The 19,533-nt window shown below is 33.8% G+C and overlaps 1 long non-coding RNA gene across 1 annotated transcript in view; it reads right to left on the minus strand.

Moving 5' to 3' along the window:
• The window catches only part of LINC00448 (long intergenic non-protein coding RNA 448), a 135,075-nt gene that overhangs the window by 52,398 nt on the left and 63,144 nt on the right, over nucleotides 1–19,533 (minus strand). The window contains exons 3-5 of the long non-coding RNA NR_047029.1: nucleotides 7,981–8,050; nucleotides 7,612–7,682; nucleotides 7,412–7,513 (exon numbers count right to left, since the gene is read on the minus strand). This is a non-coding gene — a long non-coding RNA (long intergenic non-protein coding RNA 448). The remainder of the gene's footprint in view (nucleotides 1–7,411; nucleotides 7,514–7,611; nucleotides 7,683–7,980; nucleotides 8,051–19,533) is intronic.

Consider the following 19,533-nt stretch of genomic DNA (forward strand, 5'->3'; position numbering starts at 1 on the left):
TTTAAATGTGGAAGATTAGTGAATTTATCTTTTTAATTATAAAAGACAAGCTTATCTTTTATAAGACAAAAGATTAGTGAATTTATCTTTTGAAATGTAATTGTAAAAATAAAACCAAAAATATCCTCTGAAGCACTAAATTAGCTTTATATCAAAAACGATGATATTTATTTTCATTATGATTCAGGTAAAACTATTCCTAATTTCCCTTCTACTTTCTCCTAGATCCACGGATTGTTTAGATATTTATTATTTAATTCCTTAAATGTTTGCTATTTTGCTAACTGTCTTCTCAGTATTTATGTATAGTTTAACTCTATTGTGGTTAGAATGTATGTTTGATTCCAGTCATTTTAATTACTATTTAGGCCAGGATATGGTTACTCTGTAATAAATATACCAGATATAATTTAAAAACGTGAATTTTACAGTTGTTGAGTATAGTATTCCATAAATACTAATTATATAATTATGGTTGATAATGTTGCTCAGGCAATCTACATATTTGCTGTTTTTTTGTGTAGTTTGTTGATTCTCAAAGTGTAATCCAGGTAGTCCTGGGGCCACCAAGAACCCTCAAAGATCCATGCAGCAAGCGTGCAAGATAGAATGATGAGTTTCAATGTAGAAGCATATGAAAGTTTACTAATATGGATTCATTTTTCATGTTAAAATTGAGCTTTAGTTTACCAAACTAATCAAGTTATGATGTGGTATCAAAAAGATACTACCTTACCTGAAATACTTACTAAAATATTCCTCCATTTATAAGCATCATATGTATCTAAGCCAAGTTTTTCTTTATACACAACCAACGAAACAATGTATTGCAACAGATTAAATGCAGAAGCTGATATGATAATCCATTCATCCTTTTTTTTTTGTTATTATACTTTAAATTTTAGGGTACATGGGCACAACGTGCAGCTTTGTTACATAGGTATACATGTGCCATGTTGGTTTGCTGCACCCATTAAGTCATCATTAAGTATTTCTCCTAATGCTATCCCTCCCCCTGCCCCCACTCCATGACAGGCCCTGGGGTATGATGTTCCCCGCCCTGTGTCCAAGTGTTCTCATTGTTCAGTTCCCACCTATGAATGAGAACATGCAGTGTTTTGTTTTCTGTCCTTGTGATAGTTTACTCAGAATGATGGTTTCCAGCTGCATCCATGTCCCTGCAAAGGACATGAACTCATCCTTTTTTATGGCTGCATAGTATTCCATGGTATATATGTGCCACATTTTCTTAATCCAGTCTATCATTGATGGACATTTGGGTTGGTTCCAAGTCTTTGCTATTGTGGTTAGTGCTGCAATAAGCATAGGTATGCATGTGTCTTTATAGTAGCATGATTTATAATCCTTTGGGTATATACCCACTAATGGGATCGCTGGGTAAAATGGTATTTCTAGTTCTAGATCCTTGAGGACTCACCACACTGCCTTCCACAATGGTTGAACTAGTTTACACTCCCACCAACAGTGTAAAAGCATTCCTTTTCTCCACATCCTCTGCCACATCTGTTTTTTCCTGACTTTTTAATGATTGCCATTCTAACTGGTGTGAGATAGTATCTCATTGTGGCTTTGATTTGCATTTCTGTGATGACCACTGATGATGAGCATTTTTTCATGTGTCTGTTGGCTGCATAAATGTCTTTTTTTGAGAAGTGTCTGTTCATACCCTTTGTCCAGTTTTTGATGGGGTTGTTTTTTCTTGTAAATTTGCTTATGTTCTTTGTAGATTCTGGATATTAGCCCTTTGTCAGATGGGTAGATTGCAAAAATTTTCTCCCATTCTATATGTTGCCTGTTAACTCTGATGGTAGTTTCTTTTGCTGTGCAGAAGCTCTTTAGCTTAATTAGATCCCATTTGTCTATTTTGGCTTTTCTTGCCATTGCTTTTGGTGTTTTAGTCATGAAGTCCTTTCCCATCCCTATGTCCTGAATGTTATTGCCTGTGTTTTCTTCTAGGGTTTTTATGGTTTTAGGTCTAACATTTAAGTCTTTAATCCATCTTGAATTAATTTCTGTAGAAGGTGTAAGGAAGGGATCCAGTTTCAGCTTTCTACATATGGCTAGCCAGTTTTCCCGGCACCATTTATTAAATAGGGAATCCTTTCCCCATTTCTTGTTTTTGTTAGGTTCATCAAAGATCAGATGGTTGTAGATGTGTGGTGTTATTTCTGAGGCCTCTGTTCTGTTCCATTGGTCTATATATCTGTTTTGGTACCAGTACCATGCTGTTTTGGTTACTATAGCCTTGTAGTATAGTTTGAAGTCAGGTAGCATGATGCCTCCAGCTTTGTTCTTTTTGCTTAGAATTGTCTTGGCAATGCAGCCTGTTTTTTGGTTCCAAATGAACTGTAAAGTAGTTTTTCCAATTCTGTGAAGAAAGTCATTGGTAACTTGATGGGGATGGCACTGAATCTATAAATTACCTTGGACATTTTGTCCATTTTCATGATATTGACTCTTCCTATCCATGATCATGGAATGTTCTTCCATTTGTTTGGGTACATTTTTATTTCGTTAAGCAGTGGTTTGTAGTTCTGCTTGAAGAGGTCCTTTGCATCCCTTGTAAGTTGGATTCCTAGGTATTTTATTCTCTTTGTAGCAACTGTGAATAGCAGTTCACTTATGATTTGTCTCTCTGTTTGTCTGTTCTTGGTGTATAGGAATGCTTGTGATTTTTGCAGATTGATTTTGTATCCTGAGACTTTGCTAAAGTTGCTTATCAGCTTAAGGAGATTTTGGGCTGAGACGATGGGGTTTTCTAAATACACAATCATGTCATCTGCCAACAAGGGCAATTTTAATTCCTCTTTTCCTAATTGAATACCTTTTATTTATTTCTCTTGCCTGATTGCCCTGGCCGCAACTTCCAACACTATATTAAATAGGAGTGGTAAGACAGGGCATCCCTGTCTTGTGCCAGTTTTCAAAGGGAATGCTTCCAGTTTTTGCCCATTCAGTATGATATTAGCTGTGGGTTTGTCATTCATAACTCTTATTATTTTGAGATACATTCCATCAATACCTAGCTTATTGAGAGTTTTTAGCAGGAAGGGCTACTGAATTTTGTCAAAGGACTTTTCTGCATCTATTGAGATAATCTTGTGGTTTTTGTCATTGGTTCTGTCACTTGCTTTGTGAACCTGGGTGCTCCTGTATTGGGTGCATATATATTTAGGATAGTTAGCTCTTCTTGTTGAATTGAGCCCTTTACCATTATGTAATGGCCTTCTTTGTCTCTTTTGATCTTTGTTGGTTTAAAATCTGTTTTAACAGAGACTAGGATTGCAACCCCTGCTTTTTTTTTTTTTTTCTTTTTTTTTTTTTTTTTTTTGCTTTCCATTTGCTTGGTAGATCTTCCTCCATCCCTTTATTTTGAGCCTATTTGTGTCTCTGCATGTGAGATGGGTCTTCTGAATATAGCACACTGATGGATCTTGACTCTTTATCCAATTTGCCAGTCTGTGCCTTTTAATTGGGGCATTTAGTCCATTTACATTTAAGGTTAATATTGTTATATGGGAATTTGATCCTGTCATTATGATGTTAGCTGGTTATTTTGCTCATTAGTTGATGCAGTTTCTTCCTAGCATCAATGGTCTTTACAATTTGGCATGTTTTTGCAGTGGCTGGTACCAGTTCCTTTCCATGTTTAGTGCTTCCTTCAGGAGCTCTTGTAAGGCAGGCCTGGTGGTGACAAAATCTCTCAGCATTTGCTTGTCTGTAAAGGATTTTATTTCTCCTTCACTTATGAAGCTTAATTTGCCTGGATATGAAATTCTGGGTTGAAAATTCTTGTCTTTAAGAATGTTGATTATTGGCCCCCACTCTCCTCTGGCTTGTATAGTTTCTGCTGAGAGATCTGCTGTTAGTCTGATGGGCTTCCCTTTGTGGGTAACCCGACCTTTCTGTCTGGCTGCCCTTAACATTTTTTCCTTCATTTCAACCTTGGTGAGTTTGACAATTATGTGTCTTGGGGTTGTTCTTCTCGAGGAGTATCTTTGTGGTGTTCTCTGTATTTTCTGAATTTGAATGTTGGTCTGCCTTGCTAGGTTGGGGAAGTTCTCCTGGATAATATCCTGAAGAGTGTTTTCCAACTTGGTTCCATTCTCCCGCTCACTTTCAGGTACACCAATCAAACGTAGATTTGGTGTTTTCACATAGTCCCATATTTCTTGGAGGCTTTGTTAGTTTCTTTTTACTCTTTGTTCCCTAAACTTCTCTTCTCACTTTGTTTCATTCATTTGCTCTTCAATCATTGATACCCTTTTTTCCATTTGATCAAATAGGCTATTGAAGCTTGTGCTTGTGTCACATAGTTCTCGTGCCATGGTTTTCAGCTCCATCAGGTCATTTAAGATCTTCTCTACACTGTTTATTCTAGTTAGCCATTTGTCTAATCTTTTTTCAAGGTTTTTAGCTTCCTTGTGATGGGTTTGAACATCCTCCTTTAGCTCGGAGAAGTTTGTTATTACCGACCTCCTGAGTCTACTTCTGTCAGCTTGTCAAAGTCATTCTCTGTCCAGCTTTGTTCCGCTGCTGGCAAGGAGCTGCGATACTTTGGAGGAGAAGAGGCACTCTGGTTTTTAGAATTTTCAGCTTTTCTCTCTAGTTTTTCCCCATCTTTGTGGTTTCATCTACCTTTGGTCTTTAATGTTGGTGACCTACACATGGGGTTTTGGTGTGGATGTCCTTTTGGTTGATGTTCACGCTATTCCTTTCTGTTTGTTAATTTTCCTTCTAACAGTCAGGTCCCTCAGCTGCAGGTCTGTTGGATTTTGCTGGAGGTCCACTCTGGATCCTGTTTGCCTGGGTATCATCAGCAGAGGCTGTGGAACAGCAAATATTGCAGAACAGCAAATATTGCTGTCTGATCCTTCCTCTGGAAGCTTCATCCCGGAAGGGCACCTGCGTGTATGAGGTGTCAGTCAGCCCCTACTGGGAGGTGTCTCCCAGTTAGGCTACATGGGGGTCAGGGACCCACTTGATGAGGCAGCCTGTCTGTTCTCTGAGCTCAAACACCATGCTGGGAGAACAACTGCTCTCTTCAGAGCTGTCAGACAGGGACATTTAAGTCTGCAGAAGTTTCTGCTGCCTTTTGTTCAGCTATGCCCTGCCCCCAGAGGTGGAATCTACAGAGGCAGCAGGCCTTGCTGAGCTCCGGTGGGCTCCACCCAGTTCGAGCTTCCATGGCTGCTTCGTTTACCTACTCAAGCCTCAGCAATATCAGACGCCCCTCCCCCCACCAGGCTGCATCCTCACAGGTCAATCTCAGACTGCTGTGCTAGTAGTGCTCAAGGCTCCGTGGGCATGGGACCCGCTGAGCCAGGCACGGGATGTAATCTCCTGGTGTGCCATTTGCTAAGACCAGTGGAAAAGCACAGCATTTGGGTGAGAGTGTCCCGTTTTTCCAGGTACCGTCTGTCACAGCTTCCCTTGGCTAGGAAACGGAAATCCCCTGACCCCGGGTGAGGTGATGCCCTGCCCTGCTTCAGCTCGCCCTCTGTGGGCTGCACCCACTGTCCAACCAGTCCCAATGAGATGAACCAGGTACCTCAGTTGGAAATGCAGAATTCACCCGTCTTCTGTGTCAATCATGCTGGGAGCTGCAGATTGGAGCTGTTCCTATTTGGCCAACTTGGAATGGAATCCATTCATTTTTTATTAAATTACATAATAGATCTAAAAAAAAGTGTAAAATAATACCAAGCATCTAATTTCCTTTTCTGAACAAATAGTTATGTTTTTGTAATGATAAGATATGTATTTAGCATGTAAGAATTTGTGTTTCAATAAAATATTAATTAAATAATAAATTAATAATATTAAACTTTTACTCATTTCATAAAATGGTAACAGTACATATAACCTAATGAAGAAAAGTTTTAAAAATATAAATGGTTTGAGACCAAAATGTGTAAAAATAGATGGACAAATTTTTCTAGCAATTTATGAGAAGAATATTAAATTGTCCTACAATGATGGTGATAGGCACATACATGTTTATGACTATTATGATTTCCTGATGAATTGGCCCTGTTAAAGTTCTAAAATGGCTCACTTTATTTTTGTAATAGTCTGCCTGGTTGTATATTTTATCTGATATCAATTTAACCACCCTAGACTTCTTATTGCTTGCTATTTGAATGATTTTTTTAATTAATGTATTTTGTTTTTATATTTAATCTTTGTCTTTATATTTAAATTTTATCTCATACAGGCAGCTTATAAATCATACATAAACAATATATTTTTTGAACATATGCTATAATTATTAAGGAGGACAAGTTAGAGTTGACCATTATTTGTATTCTGCCTGATCCTTATGATTATTCCTCACTGTTTCCCATGTTGTTTATTCCATTGATTATTTGAATATTGCTTGGAATACATTTTTAAGTCATTTATTGGCTTCTTAGCTATACAGTTATGTATTTTTGCTTTTCAACCTAGGAGCCACTAGTCATATATCTTCACTGAGAACTTACAATGTGGCTATTGTCACTGAGGTATTGAATTTTTAGCTTTATTTAATTTTAATTTTAAATATATATTAAACTTACATTTAAGTTCACTATTGGAAAATTTTTAAATTGTTTGAACAACTTAGGCATGTTATGCTACCTTTCCACCTGTAAGTTTTAGGAATTCAAATGCAGATAAAGTATTTCTACTTAAAAAAATTATCAAAATTGAAGTTTGTTATAAGGGTCAAATACAAACTGAATTTCAAAAATTAATTATAAAATAAAAGAATATATATATTTTATTTTTATCAATTACATATTAAATAGATAATGCAATGATTATATTGGATTAAATAAAATACATAAATTCACTTGTTTCATTTTGCTTTTTCAAACGTGGCTATTATATATTTTAAAATTACATGTATGTCCCACATTATTTTTCTCTCAGATACTGATTCTCAGGTATGATATTTATTCTTAACATTTCTCAGCCTACTTCAATGGATGTTATAGCATTACTTTAAATGTAGAAAACTTGAAACACACATGCCCATTTAACACATCTTCCAAAATCCTCTAGGCTTTAATCATAATATATTTCACAGCCATATACGTTATACACTACTTTCTTTAGCATTCTTGTTCAATAATTTTTTGGGGTGACAAATTATTTTGTTTTTCTTTTCATTGACATTATCATGTCACATTCATTCTTGAAGTATAATTTTGCTAAATATGGAATTCTGGATTAACTGTTTTTTGAAAATCACTTTCAAAATGCCTTTCTTTTCTTTCACCAATCTTCTGAGTGTATTGCTGCAACGGTTCAAGTATGGCCATTAGAATTCCTCTCTATGAGTCTCTAACATCCTTAGAACTTCTATAGTTGTTAGGGGTGGCAGATTATCTTGCAGTTTTACCACCATATTCCTTGATGTGGCGATCTTCTGGATCCATCAAAGGAACAAAGTCTGCTGTTGCTGAATTCCATGCATTAACCAGTGCACATCCAGAAGAGCTGTAAACTGAAAACATTGTGTGAAGTACATCTGCGTCTGGAGCACAGGAAAAAAAAAGTCTTTAAATATGTAATATCAGCTGGTGAGAAAGGAATATGAATTACCTGGCAATCCTGAGTTGCTTCCCGATGTCCTCAGCTTTGCTGATTATCCACATAGGAAAGGCATGGTTTTTCTGGCAATGAGACAAGATAAATGTAAATTACATGGCACTTCGGCTTGCTTTCCTGTGTTGACATTCCTCAGCTTAAAGCTTTGTTTGTTTACCATTTTCTAAACGATTAGAATATCTACTCGCCATACTGCTGTCTTCATATGGAGGTAGAGTATTTTATCCTAGTTCTCAATTATTTCCAGATTAATTATCTTTATCAAATCTGCATTTCAAGTGTATTTGTCTGTTCTCACACTACTGATAAAGACATATACAAGACTGGGTAATTTATAAAGAAAAAGAGGTTTAATGGACTCACAATTCCATCAGGCTGGGGAGGCCTCGCAATCATGGCTGAAGGTGAAAGGCATATCTTACATGGTGGCAGGCTAGAGAAAATGAGAACCAAGTGAAAGGGTTTTCCCTTATAAAACCATCAGATCTCATGAGACTTATTCACTAGGATGAGAACACTATAGAGGAAACCACCCCCATGATTCAATTATGTACTCCCTGGACACTCCCAGAGCAAGTGGGAATTATGGGAGCTACAATTCAAGATGAGCTTCAGGTGGGGACAGAGCCAAACCATATCACCGAGATATAGGTTGTGAAGGTGTTAGGGAACTCTTGGAGGTGGAATCTGGGATAGCTCTAGAGGCACCTGTAATTATATCCTCAGAGTAGGTAATTTGTTAATCACCAAAGAAGTTGTGATTCCTCATCCATTTTTTCAGGGAAGTTCACAAACAAAGGCAACAACCTATACAAACATCATCACCTCTCTCTTTTCAGGACTCAGTCTGAGGGAGAGAAGGAAAGTGGTAAGGGAAGCAGAGGGATTTATTGAAGACAGATGAGAAAGAAGACAAGAATTCTGTGAAAGGGAAAGTGCGCTTAATGGTGGCATTTTCTTTTTCATTTATCTCAGTATTTTTTTAGTAATTCAAATAATTTTTATAATGATATTTATCTCATAAGTGCCAGTAATTCATTTGCTTGGGATAAGCTTCTGCAAACATATTCATTCATCTAAATCAAAAGAAGCATTCTTTAGCCACTGCAAGAGTGGATTCTCATACACATTTCAAATATGACATAAAATATTAGCTCTTTAAGAGAAAGACCTGGAGGCAGCATTCATGGCTTCCCATATTTTCCAACCACATGGTGATCCCAATGGGTTATTAGAGCCCATGTTTTCCACAGTTATTCAACAGTAATATTTGGATTTTGAGAAGTTTGTCAGATTCATATTCCCAAAAGCGGAGAGCACTTGGAGGATCTTTTACCTGGTTGTTGTGCGAACATAAATTTTTAGCTGCTCCATTTAATTTGGGAAGTCCTAGACATCCTGTCCTTGTCACCAGGCATATGGAAATATAAGTGAAAACAAAATCTCCTGTGAACTCAGAAAATCTTCCTACCAAGTTAGAAAAGAAAGTGAATAATGAAACCAGGATGTGATGAGCATCACAGACAATCTGCTTGAGCATCACAGACAATCTGCTAGGAAACTGAAAATACAGAAATAAATTGTTCCCTTTTATACAGCCAAGCAGACATAACCCATTAGATGTTCTCAAGATAAATAATAATTAGCTCTCAAGAAAGAAGACTTGACAGCATAATTTGTCATGTATAGTTCATCTTAAATTCACTTTTTTTCTTGCAATGTCTTTGGTTATTCAAGCTCTTTTTTGGTTCCACATAAATTTCAGGATTGTTTTACTAATTCTGTGAAAAACGATGTTGGTAATTTGATAGGAATTGCATTGAATCTGTAGATTGCTTTGGGCAGTATGGTCATTTAAATGATACTGATTTTTCTAATCCATGAGCTTGGGATGTTTTTCCATTTGTTTGTGTCTTCTGTGATTTCTTCCATCAGTGTTTTTTAGTTCTTCTTCTAAAGATCTTTTGCTTTCTTTGTTAAAAGTATTCCTAGATATTATGTGTGTGTGTGTGTTGGCTTTTGTAAATGAGATTGAGTTATTGACTTGGTTATCAGCTTAAGTGTTATTGGTGTATAGAAATGCTACTGATTTTTGGATGTTGATTTTGTATCCTGTAACTGTACTAAAGTCATATATCAAGATAAAAAGTCTTTTGGGGGAGTCTTCAGGTTTTTCTAGAAATAAGGTTGCATTGTCAGTGAAGTGAAATAATTTTACTTTCTCTTTTCCAAATTGAATGCCTTTTATTTCTTTATCTTGCCTGAGTGCTTTGGTGAGGACTTCCAGTACTATGTTGAATAGGAGGGGTTAAAGTGGGCATTCTTGTCTTGTTCCAGTTCTTAAGAGAAATGCTTTCAACTTTTCTCAATTCAGTATGATGTTGGCTAAGGGTTTGTCATGTACGGTTTTTATTATTTTGAGGTATGTTCCTTTGATGCCTAGATTGTTGAGCATTATTTATCATAAATGAATCTTGGATTTTATCAAATGCTATTTCTGCATCTATTGAGATTATCATATGGTGTTGTTTTAAATTTTGTTGTGTGATTGGCCACATTTATTGATTTTTGCATATTGAACCATCCTTGCATAAATCTGCTTTAACATTCCTGTTTGCAAGTTTCAGTGCCTGAGTCATCTTTGTATCCATTTCTTTCAAGTTTTAACTATTTCTTAAATATGCCTGCTTTTTATTCACTCTCAGGGACTTTAGGAATGTTGTTTTGCTTGTTTATTTTGTTGTTTTCTAGAGCTCATAGTCATTGTCCATAGGAAAATTTATTTGGTAAGAGCCCACCCTTTCTTATCTGTTTCAGAAGCAGGCAGGACTTTCTCCTATTATTTCAATGTTAGTAAACATTTTGTGTGTTTTCTATTTTCTCAACCAGATAAAAAAACAGAAATGTCTTAATATATATGCCTGGGTTTCACACAAAGCATTGTTCGTAAGTTATTTGTGAATATTTGTCAAAAGAACTAAATAAATATGAGAAATTCAGAAGCAATTTAATTTCCTATAACAAATAGAAATCCTAAAGTCACCAGTTTTTCAGATTCTCCTTATTTAGTTATGCACTTATTCATTCAACAAGCAGACACTGATAACTTGATTAACTTGTTTCCTTATTAGGCCCTAAAAATTCAGCTGGGATGGCCACTACGTACAAGACCAACTCAACTTGAAATTAAAAAAAAACAAACTAATATTTATGTAATGATTATTTTCTCAGTAGGTGTTTAATGTCTTTCTCCAAACAGAGCCACATTAATCAGATGGGCACAAGTTGCACTGTTCACACTGCTATCTTCCTACACAAAAGATTGTTTTGAGAAGTATGTAAACATTAATTTTAAATATTATTTACTATGAAATAGCTTAAACATGTAGAAAAATATAGATAATAATAAACAGCCATGTACCCAAGCCATCTTTTAAAAGTTGTTAATGTATTTTACATTTGTTTCTCGCTTTTCTTAACCAAATACATTGAACAAAACTTTCTTTCCTAACATAGAGTAGTTTGAGGCAAGAATAAAATGAGAATCCATGGCCTTCAACTCTTATTCCTTTCTTTTTGTCCTTGGCTCTCTCTTTAAGCATTAGGGCTATTGTGCACATGTACGTGTCTGTTCATAGCTAATCACTCAGATCCTATCTCTGTCCAAACCTTTTAAAATAGACACCATTTGGCTACTCCTTGAGCCTAGGGTGCACAAAATCAGAACTGTGCCTTTATTTCATAAAAATTGGCCTGGGCAAGTGGCCCACATAGAACATGGTAGGTTAAGAAATTTTAGAGTTACAGAATGTGGTCTAGAAAGAACAGCTGGAAAGGGCTCTAGTGGTTCATGTTCTTTATCTTTGCTTTGTCCTCTGGGGATGGGTGCTGACAAAAGAGGGTCTGACAGAGTCCTCTAACGTGCTGGGATCAGAACAGCCACTCTTATCTCCCAGTTCAGAATGTAAAACTGAAGCCTGCAACATTATGGACTCAGTTCTAGTACCATTTACCCTCTGCTGCAGATCTAGCCACTCCCCTAAATGTGTTTATAATTTGCTAGACATTATTTTAGTACTATATAGATATGCATTACAAAATGATATAATATTTAGTTTTCTATTTTCAGGCTTTACATATTGATTAATTATACTAATTAAATTACAGCACTCATATTTAAATGTACTTTTCTTCACTCAAAATTTTGTATTTTCTTTTTGAGTGTAAATGTGTAGATACATGTACTTTTACTTCTTTCATTTAAACTTTAGTATGGTCCACCATAATATGAATATATTGCAATTTAAATATATCCCTTAGCCCAATGAGTTTCGGTTGTTTCCAAATTTTAATATTAGATATAATGCTATAATGAACGTTCTTTCCACATTTCCTTGTGAACATTTGCTAAGTTGTATACCCTGAAGTGGAATTCATATGGCTAACTTGTGCTTTAAAGTTGTAGACATTTATGCCTGAAGTATAAACGTTCCCATTGTTTCATGCACTCACCAATAGTTGATATTATGAGTTTTCTAAATGTTGCCAATTCTGGCAATTTGCATTTCTCTGATTACTTGAGAGGTCCCAAATATTTTTAAATGCCTGTGACCATTCAAAATTTCTCATCTGTAAATTAGTTAAAACTTTTGCCTTCTTTTCTGTTTTCTGTTTTGATTTGTTTTTTCTTGATATGAGATCATCATAAACACATAATATTAACCATTCGTTAGTCATGTATATTATAAATATGGTTTTACAAGTGCATGTTTTGCTTTCTTATTAATAATTTTAATTTACATTGACTTTTAAGTTCACCTTTTATTTTTAATTGTAATATAGGAATTTTGCTTAATAAATCCCTTTCTTATTTTTCCAAGTGTTTGAAAGTTTTGGTTTTCAGATTTAAGTTTTTTATTAGATAAAATACTAGGTAAGGGTAAATAACTCAGATAAAGGTTTTACTTCTAAATATGATGTAAGAAAGGATTTTAATTTTTTAACTTCGTTAACTAATTGCCCCATTACCAATTTTTAAATAATTAGTTTATTTCATATTTATTTATAAAACAGCTACTGTCACATGTCAAGTTTATGTCTTATAGATTCAGTAGATTTGACCTCTTGTCTATTCTGTGGCAAGACCACAGTGGCTTAATTACAATAATTTAAAAGTAGGTTTGATACATGCTCATCTTGTTCAACTTTTAAAATAGGTTAACCCTTCTCAAATAAATATGTTGAGAAGTTTTATTGGTATTGTGTAAAATTTTTAGGCTTCTTTTGGAAATTGTGTAGTGTTATGAAATAAATATTTTAATCTGTGAACGTGCCATATTAGCCATTAAATAAGTCCTTTTTACATCTTTAATAAAGTGTGTATATTTTCAACATTAATAACTTCCAAGTACTCTTAGATTTAATCATAGATAACACATTTATTAATCCTTTTAATTCCATTTCTAATTATTTTTCCTCATATGGAGGGATTACTTTATTTGTTGCTTATGCTGCAATTTTCTTGAACTCTCTTCAGTTCATATAGCATGTAGAGTCTCTTGGATTGTAAATGGAGATAATTATGTTGTCTGTAAAGTATGAAGTGTACTAGTTTGCTAGGACTGCTGTAATAAAGTACCTAAGATTGGGTGGCTTCAATAACAGCAACATATTTTCTCACAGTTTTATAGGCTAGAAGAGCAAGGTCTCAACAAAATTCATTTTCTTTCGAGGCCTCTCTCTCTTTGGCTTGTAGATAGCTATCTTCATCCTGTGTTTCCACCCCACGGTCTTTGTGCTGTACATGACTATGTCTTAATTTCCTCTTCATAGAAGAACACCATTTATATTGGATTAGGGTCCACTCTAATAACTTCATTTCAGTTTAGTTACTTATTTAAAGACCATTTCTTCAAATAGAGTCATATTTTGAGGAGTTAGGAATCAAATTTTAGTGGAACTCAATTCAGCCCATAATAGACGATATCTATTCAGTTCTTTTTCCTAGCTTTTTTTGTTGTGATATGCTAGTCTATTATTTGAAGATTAGAAGCATATGACAGAATACACTGTAGTTATTTCAAGCAAATAAGTATTTATTAAGGGTTGTAGATATTAATAGAAGACATTAGAAGACAAGACACAAACATTAGAATGATGTTTCAGAAATCACTCCTAAAATAATTCTTCTAGATGTAAGCTGTCTTTCAACAGTTAGAAATGATGAAATCAGGATACTGCCCCTCCAACTGGTGACTTCTTCAGGATTTTCCTTCTTGGCACTATTCTTGTAATGATTCATAACATTTAGCATCCTATAAGGATTTTTATAAAACTCTGTATAAATATCCTGATTTAGCAAAACCATGTGGAATCTTAGCTGTAAGGAAGACTGAGAAATAATGAATTTAACTGTTCAGCTTATCATGATAGGAAAGCTGTTATTCAATGCTACAGAATTTCTGCACAATAGTGCACAGACACACACTTATGTACACATACATATACCCTTGTATGTACATAATTTTATTAAAAATCCTGTTACTTAATTTTGTGTGCTTTGTACACACTACACAGCTGAAAGGTTATATTTTTTTAAATCATGGGTAAGTTAATCTATTTACATTTTTGGTATTTATATATTTGACTTATTTCTAACATCTTATTTTGTTCTGCTTACATTTTTGAAAAACTTTGTGTTCATTTTTTCCTTACTTTATCTCTTAACCTTTTCTTATTTTCTTCCTTTCCACCTGTTGATGTATTTAATTTATTTATTTAGAGTTTACATTTGCAATGCTTAGTAAACATATTTTTAAGAATACTTTTCTATATATTTCTATAAAATAGCCTTTTAAGATCTAATTTGATTAAATATTTTTATCCTCTACCTGATATGACATAGAATTTAGCCTATTGTGATCACTAGTTGAACTCATGAACACAAACACACATAGATACCCCTTACTGTTTTTGTCAAGGGTTTTATACTTCGTCTTCTTTAAATACAAACATTTAGCAATTAATGCTAACAATTTTTATTGATATGGAATATACAAGCAGAATATTTCACATAAGTTATCTGACTTACAACAAACAACAGAATGGTGCTACCAACATCCAGAACAAGAAACACACCCTTCCCAGCCTCTTTTTTTTTTTTTTTTTTTTAATTAGATGGAGTCTTGCTTTGTTGCCCTGGCTGGAGTGCAGTGGTGTGATCTTGGCTCACTGCAACCTCTGCTTCCTGGGTTCAAGGGATTCTCCTGACTCAGCCTCCTGAGTAGCTGGGATTACAGGCGCATGCCACCACACCCGGCTAATCTCTTATATTTTTGGTAGAGACGGGTTTTCACCATGTTGGCCAGGCTGTTCTCGAACTCCTGACTTCAAGTGATCGTCTGGCCTCAGCCTCCCAAAGTGCTGGGATTACAGGCATGAGCCACCATGCCCAGCCCTTTCCAGCTTCTTTAAATAACTGCTGTGGAATACACTTTCCTTTGAAAATCTAAATACATAGCCACTAATAAAATGTACTTAGGTTTTTATTTGTTTCTGACTCATAAACTATATCAGCCTTTAAAATTGCATATAATAAGCAGACACATTTTCTTTATTTTTCTTTCATTATTTTATTTAACAATTATAAGGTTGCTGGATTTTTAAAAATCTCCAGAATTGTATTGTGCTTATAATAGAAAGAATGATGAAAACGTGTCCTTTATCTATAGTTCTGTGAGGCTATATTAACAAAAGCATGCTTTACTTTTCAGTTTTTAGAGATAATATTATATTTCATTACATTTTTACATCACTCACTTTCCTGATATGTTTTATATGATTTCCTTTATAAATTTTTATGACGTTGTTTCTACTAATAGAATTTTCTTTTACACATTAAAATTCTTCCTTTTTCTGAAGCATTTTCTTCTATTCTTATGTGTCATTTTTATATATCCAGTAGTTGTTAACAATTATGATTATAGTTTTAAAAAGTCAAACCTCATTTTGAATGCTCATCTGTCTTAGTCTTCTCATGAATCATAGATTCATATAAAGAGATACAGTATAACTGTGGCGGACATGCTAATTTTGTCTTTAATATCCGTTCCTCTTCCTCATTATTAGGAGATCCACGATCTTTTAGGTGTAGCACTCTGCCCTGGTCCAAGGCAATTACATTATCATTATTTGTCAAGCCAACCATAGCAATCTTTTTCTCCTCTTCTGGGGACTCAATTTCTCACACTCCTTGCCATCAGAGGTGTCCTAAGACCCAGTTCTAATCAATTACTCCCCAGGGAAAGTGTGTTGAGGCTTTGAGTTAACTTTCTGCTTTCCTAATGAAAGGAATAAACACGACTGATTCTACCTCGCTTTTTTTCAGGCTTCTTGTGTTGCCCAGAGCAGCAGCAGCCAACTTGTGACGATAAACTAACAGTCTTAAACATGGAAAAATATCCCTCCTAAGGATGGGTACACGGTGGCATAATGAAGTTGACGCATCAGTTTTTAAATTATTGTATAATAAAAGACTGTATATTTGAGAATTAAATTGCTCTATTAGCTAAGCCACTGTTAGTAGGAAAACCTACTTAACATGACACAATATTTCTAACAATTTAAAACAGTTGGGGGAAACTGTGTGTGTAAACACACACACATATATAGTTCTAGGTATATAGAATACCATATATATAGGTATGTGTATATATACAGAATAGATAAAAAAGAAGCAAAGGCTAATTGAGCCTCGAAGAACAATTGTGAATCAAATAAAAGTGAGAAAATAAACTGAATTTGATTATATCCTCTACGGAAAATATTACTATATTAGTTATGCATAAATTTTTAAAGATTGAAATATACTTGGATCATTTGACATTTTCATTTTATTGACTGTAGTGATGATTTAAGTCAAAATGTTTCAAATTGTAGACTTTAAACAATTTATATTGTATATAAATTATACCTCAATAAAGTTATTAAAATATACTCAATTAAGGAATTATGTTGTATATGGCTTTAGGTTATGTTCCAAGAAAGAAAATGGGAATGTATTTTATCTTTACCTTTTATTTTTTAATAAAAAAAGCCCTTTATGTAAAATCGAAAGATTTTAGTTAATAATAATAGTCAGAATGTTACTAATGATAAAGTCAACTAGCATTTATTAAATGACCATTATGTGGCAAGTCTATAATTACATTACCTCTAATCTTCTTATCACGAATACAAGGAAGGTTATTATTACCTCCAACTGAGAGATGAGAAAAGAAACTCCGAGAAGACAAGTAGCTTGTTGAAACCACCTGGATAATTAGTTAGATCGGCTGTGCTTTCAACACAAGTCATCAAATCCCAAACGTGTCCCCTTTCCAATCTGCTATTTTGTCCCCAGCATGGCTACTCTCCAGAGTATTTATTTTAAAATCTGAGTACTAGTTTCATCATCTGTAAATATGAATAATGTAAGGTATTCTGTATACTATGTAGGCTTATTGTGAAGATGAAATTATATATGTGGATGTATGTTGTAAACTTCAAAGTGCTATAAAATTCTAGTTTTCATAATCAAAATTGTCATATTCAAGTCAATGATATTTATTTACTTTTAGAAATATACCATGAGTAATTTCACAGCTAATTCTAACTAAATGTCTTCTCCAGCTTTCTAGATGTCATCTAACCAGTTATATTCTCACTGATTCGGCAGTGTATTCAAAGAGACAGAGAAGGATTGACATGATGTGTTGATGAAGTTTAAATTTCAGAGGCCCTGTTGCAGGGGCCCTCAGAGTTGGGGGTCCATGTTCTAGCTGGGAGGAGACATGAAGAGGCCCTTTCTCTGTAAGCATTTGTGGCAAAGAGATCTCGAAAGAAATGGAACCAGTTAATGGAATCATTTTGAAATAAATACTTACCTTTGCATCTAATTTTGTATTTATAACCTTTTCCTCTCTTTCTTAAAGAGGACCCTCCAAATTTTATGAACTTCCAAGTCCACTAATCATGAGTCTGCCCTGATACAAAGGAAGGCATGTAAAATACTCCTTAGGTTGTATTCTCTACTGTGCAGGTTTTCAATCTGTAGAAGAACTCCTGATCTTTAAAAAAAAAAAAATAAAGATTGGGGAAGAGGTAGTAAAAAGATATTAAGTGAACATTTTTAAGAATGCTGATTTCATTACATATTTTCCAATACCAAAACATAAAATAAAAAAATCTGGATTTTTTATATATATTATGTATATAATATATATATTATATATAATATATATATTTAATATATATGTAATATATATATACTATATATTATATATATATTAGTATTATTATTTATACATATATTGAAAACTGTAAGGTGATTTGCACCATAGGTGCAATATAAATATATATATATATATAAAATGGGTGTATATTCAATTACAGATTTATTTTTTGCCCAAATTAACCTCTCTCATGGCTTTATCAAATACTTATATTTAATCAGTTTCTTTGTAACAGTTATAAAGAAATAAAATATATTATTTCTGGTCACAGGTGCAGACTATCACAGGAATAGGAAGTAAATTGAGTCATCAGTATTCACAACATTTTAACTCAGGTTTAGAATTAGTACTTGAGAGCGCTGTGAGAAGGTCCACCAGGAAGAAGAAGTTAACTAACATATGTCAACCTAATATCTTGCTTTCAAAACTTGATGTTTTAAGATAAAATAGGATCATGTAAGACATGTTGTGCTATCTATTGTATTATGATTCTATGAATAATGAGTGTATCTCACATATTAGAGTATTCCTAAGTATTCATGAAATTTTGTAGTATGTCAAGATACAAGTGTTGAGTAACTCAAGTATTTGACTCCTACTAACCAAAATAATAAACATTTAGGCTTATAACCAAAATGAGTAATTATTTATTTTGAGAAATATTATTTATAGAAAAAGAATACACAAATTTTTCTCCTGGTACAATAAATCTGTGAATTTCCATATGAAAGATTGTTTAGTGATCTTGGAATAAGCATAGAGTGAAATTATGACTTTCAAGGAAGAATTCATTATGACCACACTGAGAATTTCCTTTAGTAATGATTTCATTTATTTATTTTACATGTATTTATTTTGATCACATGACTTAAAATATTCTGAGGAATACAAGTAAGAAGAAAAAATAAAATAAAACAAAACATGGAACTGGAATTATAAAAAAGCTGTATCCCTCAAAGGAGACTTTAGTCATAATGGCAAGATTCCTTCATTCTCTAATGAAAATACTAGATAAAGACAGCAAATTCTTAATCTCTAGTGTTCATATAGATGTTACATTTACTTTGGGCGTTTCTTCAAGTATAATAATACCATTTGTTAGGCTACATTATTCTGTAGTTTAGGTCATTCTGCGTAATCTGATTCCTGCCTGAATTCTAGAACTCCATATTTTGCAAATTTTTCACTCTCTCTCTAGGGCAAGGAAGTTTCATTTTCATTGCATTTACCCAAATTTGTAATTACCTTTGATTATTGTATTTATTTCTTTTTTGTATTTCCAATTAAATAATGAACTTCATTTTATTCAGCATCTAGTAGCTTGGCATCAATAGCCTTTCTATACATATTCAGTAAATAAATGAATAAAGAAAGCAAAAATAAATACATATTATATAATTTTTTATATTCTTTTACTATCAGTCTTAGCATATGGGAAGTAGTTTGTTTTTTAAAATAACTTCTTGATGAAAAGCAAGTTAGCATATACCATTTTATATGCTACTTGCCAGAAGTACTTTTATTTTTTAATTTTCTAATTTATAATGAGCACTTTACAATGTGTTGACTATCTACTCTTCTTTTCTTTTCTTTCTTTCTTTCTTTCTTTTTTTTTTTCTTTTGAAACAGATTCTTGCCCTGCCAT

This window comes from Homo sapiens, chromosome 13, assembly GCF_000001405.40.
Source record: "Homo sapiens chromosome 13, GRCh38.p14 Primary Assembly".
Lineage (NCBI taxonomy): Eukaryota > Metazoa > Chordata > Mammalia > Primates > Hominidae > Homo > Homo sapiens.